This window comes from Homo sapiens, chromosome 5 (genome assembly GCF_000001405.40).
Source record: "Homo sapiens chromosome 5, GRCh38.p14 Primary Assembly".
Classification (NCBI taxonomy): Eukaryota; Metazoa; Chordata; class Mammalia; order Primates; family Hominidae; genus Homo; species Homo sapiens.
In genome coordinates this window covers 77,288,399-77,301,914 of record NC_000005.10, presented here as the reverse complement: position 1 = coordinate 77,301,914, position 13,516 = coordinate 77,288,399, and the positions used below count along the sequence as shown (strand labels likewise).

Genomic DNA, 13,516 nt, shown 5'->3' with positions numbered 1-13,516 from the left:
AACAAAACAAAACAAAACAAAAAAAACCCCAAACTGCAGTTCGATGCTATGATTATGTCAAAATTCTTTCTGTCGTACATGCAGTGCAGGAATCAAGGCATCAAGCTTTCATAATGTAATAATTCAGCCACAAATGACTAGGCTGAGTGTGTGTAAACACAGCTCCATTCCAAGATCCCAAAGATCATGCAGGGTCTGACTGGGAGAACACAGGAATTTAAAGGCAATGGTCAAAACGTGACATCCCTCAACTGACTTCCTTCCTTTTATTAGAGATACCACTGATAATAGACACTGCCGGATGACTTCAAGCATGTAAAATTACATTGTGTAATAGAGAACAAGCAAAGAACAGTCTAGCTCTGATTATTCAGGAGGCAATTATCCAGACTGTGGAAAAACCCAAGCACTCATTTCTGATCCACCTCCATCCTCCTGCATGCCTCTGATGCCTTCCCTTCTCCTGAACATTACATGAAGTTGGGAGAAAGTGGGGAGGGATGATATTCAAATCAGTAAATTTTGCTACATGGTCAGCAGTTCTGGTAAATAGATTTGATGGGCAAAGAAACAGAAACCACCTGCTAAAAATGAGTTTTAGAGATTTCCTGTGGATTTCAATTATACATGCTGCCTCTGTCCTCAATTTTATCATTGATAAGCTAGAACTGCCTTAGAGGACCAAGAGTGAAATGTCTTCCCTGCTTGTCTCCATGGGAATCTCCCATTAGGGACCTGTGACCCTGAAGCACCTGGATTTTTAGCCACAGCTGGTACCCCATCAAGAATCCAACCACACTCACTTTCCCGACTCTGGTGTGTCAGGACCACTCATGCTGGGATGAACCATGACCTTCAGTCACCAAGTCCAAAGATTAGATGGCCCCAGGGGTAATGAATCCTTGTCGGGCACTAATTCCCATTTAAAAACCAATCTCACTGAAATGAATCCCATTTAAAAGTAAGTAGCCCATGCAAAGTCAGCCACAAAATGCAAATGCCCACTTTTTTGAAAAGGAATTTCACTTATGTGGCAAGAACAATCATGATTTCCAAGCAGTTATTGATAAAAAGCACCATTAACATCCTAATGACATACAACCTGAGTGAAACACTACACAATTAAAACCTCAACATTTTCAGAAGCTTAGCAAAGACACCAGAAGCCTGAGACCGGCAAAGCTTCTCCTGGGAAGGTCCCCAAGGCCTTAGGCCCAGCCCTTGGCCCCTCCTCTTTGCTAACACACATGGAAGACAATCCCCACTGCACCTTGACCCTCTGGGGCCACTATGTTTTACATCAAAAGCCAACGAGGCAACACCCAAGGAACTATATTTCTTCCTTGTATTATTTTTGAAGATTTAGAGAGGTAAGCACCGCAGCAGCAATGAAAGGAAGCAGTCTGTTTACAGGCAGGTGACTAAGCTGAAGATGGGCTCCCATGGTAATTCCCCCTCCCATCTCCCCAAACCCTAGAGAGTATGAAAGGGGTACAGTTCTGTGTCCATTGGTGGAATAGAAAACAGAAAATGCCCAAAGCACAGCAAAGGGTTAAGTAAGTCCTAAAAGACCATTTTGTGTTCAATCAAAGTATATTTCTTTTAAAAAACGGTTCAAACTCACAGGCTATCTTGGATCCACTGACATCATCCTCTTCTCTTGGCTACAGAACAGGCTGAGTAACGTATTCTCGTCTAAGAGAGGAATGAGAACAAGGGGCTCCCTTGTATTCTTGCTCTAAAACTCTAAAGCTCTGCCTACTTGCTCATTTTGATGAGCCTCAGGTTCTCACCTTCAGTGCTCAAGGCATTAAAATGCCTACACTGCAGAACACTGGGTACTCTATGCCCAGCACCAGGGTTCTCTGACCACGGTCTAGCATCACAGAACATGGCTTCATGTGTCTTTGATCAGGCACTGGGAGCAATTCTGGCCTACTCCACTGCATACATGGGAGCCCCTGATCTTAGAAGACTGCCTCACAAGCTTTTCAGTTACAACTCTCATGTTCCACTTTTACACTGTTGGTGGGACTGTAAACTAGTTCAACCATTGTGGAAGTCAGTGTGGCGATTCCTCAGGGATCTAGAACTAGAAATACCATTTGACCCAGCCACCCCATTACTGGGTATATACCCAAAGGATTGTAAATCATGCTGCTGTAAAGACACATGCACACGTATGTTTATTGTGGCACTATTCACAATAGCAAAGACTTGGAACCAACCCAAATGTCCAACAACGATAGACTGGATTAAGAAAATGTGGCATATATACACCATGGAATACTATGCAGCCATAAAAAATGAAGAGTTCATGTCCTTTGTAGGGACATGGATGAAACTGGAAACCATCATTCTCAGCAAACTATCGCAAGGACAAAAAACCAAATACCGCATGTTCTCACTCATAGGTGGGAACTGAACAACAAGAACACATGGACACAGGAAGGGGAACATCACACTCCGGGGACTGTTGTGGGGTGGGGGGAGGGGGGAGGGATAGCATTAGGAGATATACCTAATGCTAAATGACGAGTTAATGGGTGCAGCACACCAACATGGCACATGTATACGTATGTAACAAACCTGCACATTGTGCACATGTACCCTAAAACTTAAAGTATAATAATAATAATAAAATAAAACAAACAAACAAACAAACAAACAAAAAAACAACTCTCATGTTCCCAATCTTGCTGTAATTCTGTAAGCAACAATGCAGATTCATGGGCTCCACTCTCCTGGAATCCTGTTTAAAATCATTACTATTTCTTACGGGCCTTGGGGCCTTTGTGTAAGACAGGCAATGCTTTAGAAATGGTGATGGTGCAGAGATAGGGCCAGGAGACATACAAAGCTACAAGTGCATCCTAGTGGAGCATCCATTTTTATGTCAAGATGAAACAAGTTTAGTGATTTAACTACAAAGTCCTTCAAAATATTTTTATCTTAGTTGAGAAAACCAGAGTATAATGCAAAGTTCACATGAATTTTTAAGCTAAAGAATGAAATTTCACAAAAATCTAATGCTTGCAGCAGATCACTTTACCTGGTGGAGGTAGGCATCCACTTTCTTCACCCTCAGATTTGAAGAGGTTTGAGAAGCACCAATCTAAAGGAAGAAGACCAATTCACGGAGCTGAGGCCTTGGCATTTTAGTTCAAAGTCTCTAAAGCCCCATCATCACACATAAGGATTCCCGGGGATCCCTGGACAGTCAGATGGCTAAAATACAGCCCTGGGAATGGTGTCTGGTGAACCAAATGGCGGGTCTATGTGGACTTGGAGTTCTACTGGTGTAAGTCCAGCCTCTTTCTAAACAACCAGTGGACAACTTTATACTCTCATTAGAAAGTTCTGCCTTCAGTTGCACTGAAATCTGCATCTTTGTAACAGAAAGACTTGCCTCGCCCCCTCCAGGGGTGCCCACATGCTAAAATTCATCAATGCTGCTTATTTGACCTTAGTGGTCAAGGTTGCTGCAGCCTGTCACGTGGGTAACAATATTCTCCCCATCTCTTTCCAAACCGTCACAATTTCAAGAACAGGAAGAAACTTAGGGTAACAGAGGCCATGATGTTCTGTGGCTGAGCCCACAGCCCTCAATTTAAGTCTAACCACAGGAGGAAGATATATGAAGATTGAAATGATGTCTAAAGGGTAACAAGTCCCAGTATCAGGAGGTCCAGACCCTATACTTTTCAGCAATGCCTAAAAGGCACTGTTTCCTTATGATGGGAGGCAGGTACTAGCATATGGGTGGCAGGGCCCCTGAGGGGAGATAGTTATACTCAAGAGTAGCACCAATATTTAGTTTAGATCCACAAACTTTCATCAAGCATCTATTATGTGCCAGATACTACACAGAAAATAAGCCAAAAAAGATAAGCAAGACTGAGTGTTCACGCCTTCAAAAAGCCCACAGTCTGAAGACAGGAGTGGGGAGCAGAGTGGGAGTGAGATGACCATGAAGCCAGAGAAACCTAAGGGCAACTTAGCTCAATCTGGGGATTCAGGCAAATTTCCAGGAAACCACACTGGAGATCAATGTTGAAGGATCAGTGAGAATGAGCCAAGTGAAGACCGATGGAAGGAGCATTTTTGGCAGATGGAATGGCACAAGGATGGCAAAGAACAGAGTTTGTGTGAACAGTCCCAGGCAATGTGGAACAGACCATGTGGCTAGAGAGGGAGGAAGGAGCCAGGTCACAGAAGGCTGCTGTGGTGAGAAGCCTGGGCTTTGCTAGGTGGACAAAGGTGTAGCATAGCTGGATTGTAGTTGGCTGGATCACTCTGGTTGAAATGTGCATAGACTAAGGGAGGAACAGAGATCAGAAAGGAGTTCCTGCAATGATCCCCGTGGTTCTCAAGGTGTGGTCCCTGAACCAGCAGCATCAGCATCACATGGAACTTATTAGAAGGGGAAACATTCAGGCCCCATCCGAGATCTATTGAATCAGAAACTCTAGGGGTGGGCCCAGTGTGTAATGACTGGCCTTCCAGATGAATGTGATGCTTGCTAAAGTTTGGGAACTACTGGTGTTGACAAAAGATGATGAGTGTCTACACTAGGAGTAGTGGTGAGGGGTGCTATGATTTGAATTTCCCCTCCAAAATTCATGTTGAAATTTAGTCGCCATTTTGACTATATTAAGAGGTGGGATCTTTAAGACGTGATTAGGTCATGGGGCTCTGCCCTCAGGAATGGATTAATGCTGTTATCTTGAGAGTGGGTTAGTTATCACAGGAGAGGGCTCTTGATAAAAGGATGAATTCCGCTTGCTTTCTTTGTTCTGTCTCCCACACTCACTTGCCCTTTCTACCTTCTCCATGAGATGACACAGTACAAAGGCCCCTGCCTTTGTACTGAGTTTGAGATGTCTCTAGTCCTTTCAAAATGCAAAGTCAGGCTCTGGGATATGTAAGTATGAAGCTCAGGGAGAGTGACACCAGCATACAGGAAAGGCAGTTAAAACCTTGCCATCACTCACAGCAGAAGACCAAAGACAGAACTCTGGAGAACACCAGTATCAGAGGGTTGAGGAGAGGCAGAGAAGTACACATAAGAGCTGGAAGAAGGAAAAAGAGAAGAAAAGGGGAAACAAGCAGATTCTCCCAGAACCTCAGTTACTCCCACAGAGCACAGCTAAGTAGGTTGCCTTCCCTAACTTAGAGTATCTATTTACATAACTCACCACAATCAATAAGAGTCAATATATGATCATCTCAAGAAATGTCAAGATAGCACTTTGATAAAATTCAACACGTTTAAAAATTCTTTTTTAGATAGCCTCCCCAGTCCATTCCTTCCTTTCTCCTTCCAGGAGTCACTGACTTCTGTTTGGAAATCTCTGTTTGGTTCTAAAGACATGTGGGCTGGGAGCGGTGGCTCACACTTATAATCCCAGCTTTTGGGGAGCCAAGAGTTCAAGACCAGCCTAGGTAACATGGTGAGACACTATTTCTACCAAAAGTAAAAAAGATTAGCCAGGCACGGTGGTGTATATCTGTAGTCCCAGCTACTCAGGAGGCTGAGGTGGGAGAATTGCTTGAGCCCAGGAAGTTGAGGCTGCAGTGAGCCATGTTTATACCACTGCACTCCAGCCTGGGTGACAGAGTGAAACAAGAAGAAGAAAGAAGAAAGAAGAAGAAGGAGAAGGAGAGAAAGAAGAAGAGGAAAACGAAGAGAAGGAAGATGAGGAGGAAAAGGAGGGAGAGAAAGAAGAAAAAAAGAAGAAAAAAGAAGAAGATGATGAAGAAGAGGAGGAGGAGGAAGAAGAGGAGGACAGGTAACCATAACTAAGCATTTCATTTTCCTGGCTATAGCAATTGGTTAGGAGTAGTCACGTGACTTGGACTGCTACAGCAATTGGTTAGGGGTAGTCATTTGACTTGGGCTAGTCCACTCAGTTTATCCCAGGATTTTGCTAGCAATGCTGGGAAAAAGCTATTCTACTTTTAATAAATATTCTCACTGTTTATCAAAAAGAAATGTGTAGTGAGGTTGTTTCTCGTAACATCTTGACACCATGTGAGAACGAAAGCAACACCATGGAAAGCAGAGTGGAGAAATGGAAAGAAACAAGATCCTTTGTAACACTTCCAAATTACCAGATCAAGACTTGCCCAAAGCCATATCTAACTCTGGATTTTTCAGTTAGGTGAGCCAATTAATTGGCTTTTTTCTCCTTATTAAATAAGGTTGAATGAGCTCTCCTGTGTTTAAACAGAAAGAATCTCAATGGAAACAAATGACTTCCCCTTGTTGATATTAGAGAGATCTGATGATATGTATCCTTTGGGTGGGCAATTGGCCACACAAGCTACAGGTGCATTGGTGTGTGGCTTCTTAAAAGGAGGGATATGAAATAATCACAAGCCAAATGACTGGAGTCAAAGCCAACACCTGAGCAGAGGAGAAATGGTATTCCAACCAAGGGATCATAGAACCACTTTTTACAGCTGTCTTTGGATCAAGAACACTTATGGAATTCTGAGAAAGCCAGGGGTCTCACCAGAAGCTAACGTACCCCAAAGTCTCACGTGTCAACCACCAGTCCTTATGCTAAAGTTTCTCCAGTCACAGTAATTGTCAGAAGGTTCCTCAAGAAGGGTTAATGGGAAATTCATTCCCCGAGGTCTGGCATGTTCGCACAGTTTTGTCTGTGGTTCTTATATTTGAGGGTCCAGTTTGGCTGAATGTAGAATAATTGGCTCACTTTTTCTTTTCTAGATTATCTTTAACATATCTTCTCCAGTATTTCCTGGCTTAAAGCATTGCTCTCAGGTTCTGATGCCAATCTGATTTCTTTTCCTTATAAACGACTTGGTCTTTTTGCCTAGATGCCCCAAAAGACTTTTTTCCTTTATAGTGCAATTATGTTACTAGAATATGCATTGATGTTGTCCTTTTGGATTGATTTTCCCAGTACACAACGGGGTTTGGTTTTTTCTCTTCAGAGGCTCCTATTATATAGAGGAGTTATATATGTATATGTATTATATATGTGGACCTATCTAGATAGATATAATATATATTATATATATCATATATATATTATATAATGAATCATCATATATTTGTGGAGCTCCTTTGCCTGTCTTGCATTCTATCACTTCTCAAATAGTTTCTTGTCTTCTTTATTTCTGTGTTTTTCTTCTTCCTTTCCAATTTCTATACAGTGCTTTCTGCACTGTTTATTCACTCTTATATTTCTTCCAGTTCGACCTTCCTTTCCTAGATTTTTTTTTGCTTTTATTTCTATTTCTTTTCTGAGTAATCAATTCCCTTTCATATTTTTCTGTTGTCTAATGATGTAACCTGTGTTTTTTTTAATTTGCATTCGTCCTGTTCTTTTGTAACTTTTAATCATTTTCTTAATTTCTTTTAGCTCATTTGAAATATTAGGTTGCAGTTTCTCTTCTGCTTTGTGGGCATACTTTTCTCATTTGTCCTTACTGTTTGCCAACTGGAGCCTGGGAAGCCCCCTCCACTTTAAGCGAATGTGTTCACATCAACAGCAAGCCCTCCACTCCTGGGGGACTGTCCCCTTCTTGGGACAAGTGTTGAGAGAAGTTTCTGGGTCCCCAGCCCTGGGATCCCCAGAAGTCTGTTTGTCTGCCAGCTGCTTCCTCCTGCAGACTTCCTTGTTACGGTCAGTGGTTTGGCCCTAACTGCTCATATTTTTTAGTTTATAGACATATACTCTAATCCTTAGTTTTATGAAAGATGCTGCTTATGGACTGTGTGCTCTGTCAATTTACATTATTGCCCTGTCTGTTTTTATGAGTTGATATAAGGGGCTTAAAATTATACTACAGAGCAGGATCCATGAAAGAAAAAAATAGTAAATTGGATTATATTAACATTAAAAACTTCTGCTTTCAAAATAAGCTGTGGGAAGAATAAAAACACAAACCACATATGAGGAGAGAATATTTTCAAACATAAATGTGATACCGGACTTATATCCAACATACACAAAGAACATTGAAAACTCAACATTAAGAAAACAAACACCCAATTAACAAATGGACAAAAGATCTGAACAGACACCTCACCAAAGAAGATGCTTGCCATCATTTGTCACCAGGGAATTACTAATTAAAACACACCTAGTAGAAGGGCTAAAATCTAAAAAACTGACAATGTTAATTGCTGGCAAGCATGCAGACTAAAACTCATTCACAACTGCAAAAACAAAAAATTTAGGAATAAATTATTTCATTCAAACATTTCTTCAACAAATGTTTACTGAGCAACACTATGTCCCACTCACTGGGGAAAACCTTTCACTGATATACAAGCTAATAAATGGCTAGACTTGGATTTGAACTGAGACTCTCTGACTCCAGAACCTGTGCCTTAACACATCATATCGCACACTCAGACTATCTGAGTGTCAGAAAATATGACTGAAATAAATGGAATGAGATGCTGTTTTCCTGGGTGGAAAACCAGTACTAAAAAAATGCTAAGTCTCTCTCAAATTAACCTATATACTAATTGCTATAAATACACTGGCACAACTTTTTAAACTTGTGAAATGATTCTCAAATCCATATAGAGGAATAAATTCCAGCCACTGGCTAATAAAACTGTGAAGAGTTACAAGTATTTTGCTCTGCCAGTTGTGACAATAATACTTCAAAGATACAACTATCAAAATAGTATGCTTCCAGCAGAGAGATCAACAAAAAGATAAAATCTAGAACTGACCCAATTTTACACATATCTATACATATATATAAAGCGATATATGTGATTTATTATGTAATAAAAATGTCATTTTATATCAGTGAGAAAGTAATGGATAATTCAATAATAATATTGAGATAACTGGTTAACTATATGGAGAAAAATTAAGTCAGCTCTATGCATCATGACATATACCCAAATTACTTCCAGATAGATTAAAATTTTAAATGAGAAAAAAAATCCCATGAGAATATTGAAAAACAATTTAAGTGAACATTTCCAGCATTCAAGGGCCCGGAAGCCTTTTGTTAAAAATAACATCAAAGACATAAACCAAGAAAAGATTGTTAGGTTTTTAGTAAGAAAAACATATTAAAAAGCATAATAAATATTTAAATACAAAACTGAGAAAAAATATTAGTAATATATGATAGTAAAGGGATTGGCATCCTTATTAGAGTTTTTTGAATCTCTACTAAGACAATAATAAAACAGGCGAACATCCCAATTAAAAAGGGTCAAGAAAAGGACAAGCAATGCTCAAAACAAATACACAAATGGGCTGTAAAACCAGGCAGCAATGCTCAGCCTCTCTGGCAATCCAAAAATGCAAATCAAAATAACCAGATTCCACTTTTGACTCATCAAAATTCCAAAGATTTTACAGTGAATTTCACAGTGATGATGAGGGTCTGGGGCCATTAGTAGTTTCATACCCTGCTAGAGGGAGAGGAACACTGTCTGAGTGACTCTGGATCCCTTAACACACAACATACGCCTTCCTGAGCCTTGGTAACTGAAACAGTTAGAACCTTAAAGTGTGTTTGATACTCTTTCAATTGCTGTCCCCTTTCCTCTGTTTATATGTCTGCCATGATATTTGTCACACAATAATTTTATCACCATAACCACAAACTGTTGGGGGCAGGAGGAACCTAGGAGACAGATGCCAACTCCACCCAGCCACAGTCAGAGAACCAGTAAGTGATCAGCTGTGACAAGATGCACCCCAGCACCAAACACTCAAATCCATCTGCGCAACCAACACTCACAGATATTTGGTGAGTGGGTGTTTAATTTAATACATCATTAAAAAGCAAAAAAAGCTCTTGGTAAATGGAAGATTACTTTGCTCCTTAGCACAAAATGTATGTAGGCTGCTGGAGAACTAAAGCTGCCAATGTTGCTAAGTGGTAAATGGTTTTTTTTTTTTTTAATGTTGTAACAATTTTATTTTGATTTTTAAAAAAGGAGTCTTTTGATTTAATCAGGGCTTTGGGGTCATAGGGGGATTAGTCACTGTCACAGTCATAATAATGCATTTATTCAAGGAAAACTTTAATTTTCTTTGTCTTCTTCAAAAACAGCTGCCGAACACCTCAAATTAAGGGATGTTCATCTAAAACACCTTTACTGAAACTTGATTCCTTGGGCCAGAGGAAAGTCTTTACTGTAGTTGATAGTACAAGTAGACCTTCTCATGTACTGTTTCCAGGCATCACTGCCAGATTCCCTGCCACCACCAGTGTGCTTTTCTCCTCCAAAGGCACCTCCAATCTCAGCCCCACTTGTTGGAATGTTGACATTTACAGTGCCACAGTCTGATCCTTTAGGTCCAAGCCAGCGAAAGATTCTGCCCAGATCTTTGGTAAAGTTGCTACTTGAAAGTCTCTGTTTTACTTCAGTATTCCATGCAAAGACCTCTTCTTCATTCTTGAATTTAAAGACATACAGAATCGGAGCAAAAGTCTCTGTGTGTGCAATGGATGCATCGTGGGCAAGACCTGTCACAATTGTCGGTTCTACATAATTTCCAGGGCGATCCATAACCTTGCCCCCATAGACCACTGTGCTACCTTCTTTCTTTGCTTCTTCCGCTGCTCCAAGAAACATGCTCACTGCCTGCTTGGTGTGGAGTGGCCCATAGAGAACATTAGGGTCCCATGGGTTCCCAACTCGGATCTGTGCGTAGGCCTTTTTAAGTCTGTTTACAACCTCATGATGGATGCTTTCATGTACAAACAGTCGCCTCGCAGTGGTACACCTCTGGCCAGCTATTCCCACAGCAGTGAAGAGAGCTGATGGAACAACTAAGCTGAGGTCTGCATCTTCAAAGGCAATAATGGTACTGTTTCCTCCAAGTTCCAACAAACTTCTCCCAAACCTCTCCTGCACCATCAGGGCCATCTGTTTTCCCACCTGAGTGCTCCCGGTGAAGGACAGCAGGTTCACTCGTTCATCTTTGGCCATTGCTGTGCCGGTATCTGCTCCACCACAAGTCAAGGAACAAATTGCACCAAGCAGCTTGTTGTCCTCCAGAACCTTGGCTATTATCTTTGTGACAGCCACACTAATGAGGGAAGTGGTTGGAGCTCCTTTCCAGAGGCAGACATTTCCACAGATCATGACAATGGCGTTGTTCCAACCATACACTGCCACAGGGAAATTGAATGCCGTGATGATTCCAACCAGGCCTACAGGATTCCACTGCTCAATCAGTGCATGGCCAGGTCTTTCAGAAGGCAAGATAGGTCCTCCAATCATCCTTGATAAACCAACAGCATAGTCACAGATATCCACATACTCCTGAACTTCACCCACACCTTCCACTAAGATTTTCCCCATCTCCAAAGACACCAAGCTTCCTAGTACTTGGATCTTCTCCCACAAGGCATCGTCAATCTGTCTTACTATTTCTCCTCGTTTTGGAGCAGGAATATCTGCCCAGATTTTCCATGCTTCTGTTGCTTTCTTTACAGTTTCTTCATAGTCTGCCACACTGGCCTGTCGGACTCTTGCTATTGGCTAGTTGTTAGCAGAGCAACAGGTCATAATAACCTCTCCCCGGCCTCCCCAGCTTCCATTATACACGCCCTCATTTTCCTCTCGGAGCCCCACCTCTTTCAGCCATGCATACTGGGGCTGATTGATGAGGAGAGTGGACATGAAGGCAGCAGGCCTGCTCCAAGGTCCAAGGAGCTTGCTGGTCTTTGCAGCGTGCACACACAGTGCGCGAGGCAGGCGCCACATCAATGGTTTTTAATGTAAGACCAGATTGGAATTCATTTTCCACACGTGGAACTAGGGGTAATAATACTTACCCCTTGGAGAGGACAGATGCCAAATCTGTATTACTCACGGATGTATCTTGGCACAGCAGGCAGTTGATAAGTGATAGATATTATGATGATAATCTCTCATTCATTCTTTTGGAAACTCCTTACTGAGCCCCACAGTGATAAGGAAATGAAATAGGTGCCTTACATTTGTTATCTAACTTAATAAGCTGGGTCATCACAGCATAAGCTCTTTAGCTTGAAACAAAATGTAGTCCAGAACATTTGACTTGCTTACATGAAAACACAAATGTCAACTTCTAGATTATCTAACTTTACCCACCCTCTTCCCACAAGATCACAGGAAATAAAAAATTGCTTTAAGTCCTCATTCATATTACAAAATGCTGTTCCAGACACTGGCCTCACAGTAAAGGATAGTTTTCCAAAAATTTGAGAATTGTAAGGCTCCCAAGGGGTATCTTGTCCAACCTTTTCATTTTACATATTGCCAAATAAGGCCTAAATTGTATGTGATGTGTCCAAGGTCGCACATAAGTGAGAGGTCACAATGGGATAAAATTGAGGTCTCCAGGCTGCCAGACCAGTGACACTTCCAACCTGCCCCATTCTTTCCTCCTGGTAACCACCAAAATGCTTTCTCTTCAAAAACAGCGTGGAATATCACATTTTCAGGCCTTACAAAGATAAGATGTGGGAAATGATTTACTTCTGGTCAGCTTTATTCCCAGTATCTAATTCATGATTCTGCCTAAAATTTAAGGTAAGAACCTATAAATATATACCATGTGCTTAAGAGAACAGCAGATAAACCACAAAAGTTAAAAGCCTTTACAAGCAATTCTGGAAGAGATTATGAATTATTTTCAAGGGAAGCAGCTGATCATGAGTTTAAAAATCTCAAATGCCTTATTTTATCATTTCCCTTTTCACCTTACGTTTCAAAACCTTTTAGAGAATCTGATATAATATTCCCAGGCATAAAAGAGGACAAACTAATTATGCAGTCCTGAACCCACTCTACTAGAGCATGTCTCTCAGTGTGGACGTGTCTATTAGCCACAGGCAAGATGTCAGTGGCAATGTAAAAATTCAGAGATAAAAAGAGAAGCGAAGAAAGAGGGGAAAAAAGAAGGTAACAGGTGACACTCATATGTGGTTGTGGCTGCATAAATCAAGGACAATTTTCTACAAATGAGAAGAATCTTCTTGGACCACTGAGCACTGAGATGTCTTACTAAAGCTGGGATGTAGGTCTGGGTACCTAAGTAACAATAAAAAAAAAAAAAAAAAAAAAGATGGGGGCAGCAAGATTTAACAGGAAAAAACCGAGGAGCACAGACCTAGATTTTACCCCAACTCACATATTACCTCGCTGTGTGGTCATGGACAAATCACACCATCTCTATGGATATCAGTTTTGTAAAACAAGAGAGTTAAACATAGCAACTGTCAAACTTAATACCCAAATGACAAAGGATGGTGAAGGCTGGGCATGCAGGCTGCTGTAAGTCTCAGATTTCTCTGGTCTTGTGCCACCTATTTAAATAGATTTCATAGAGATTCTACTTTCAGGGTCTGTATGACCCTGGACAATTTATTTATTCTCTCTGAACCTTACTTTTCTTGGGCCGACTCTCCAATAAGAATAACTAGAGAAATTGGAAAGAAGTTTTAAAAATCTATTTGAAAGTATCAGATAGATACCAGTGCAGTGAGACTTTGTCAGACCAAGATC

The 13,516-nt window shown here is 41.1% G+C and overlaps 1 protein-coding gene and 1 pseudogene across 27 annotated transcripts in view; both read right to left on the bottom strand.

The window, feature by feature from the left end:
* The window catches only part of PDE8B (phosphodiesterase 8B), a 341,542-nt gene that overhangs the window by 126,342 nt on the left and 201,684 nt on the right, over window positions 1-13,516 (bottom strand). For 3 of the 27 annotated variants that reach the window (NM_001349750.3, NM_001376069.1, NM_001349749.3), the window contains exon 2: window positions 3,053-3,115. The exons of the other annotated variants lie outside the window; for them this stretch is intronic. In NM_001349750.3, coding sequence (NP_001336679.1) covers window positions 3,053-3,115 — 63 coding nt within the window. The remainder of the gene's footprint in view (window positions 1-3,052; window positions 3,116-13,516) is intronic. 27 annotated transcript variants of the gene reach the window in all.
* Window positions 9,918-11,731, bottom strand: ALDH7A1P1 (aldehyde dehydrogenase 7 family member A1 pseudogene 1; annotated as a pseudogene).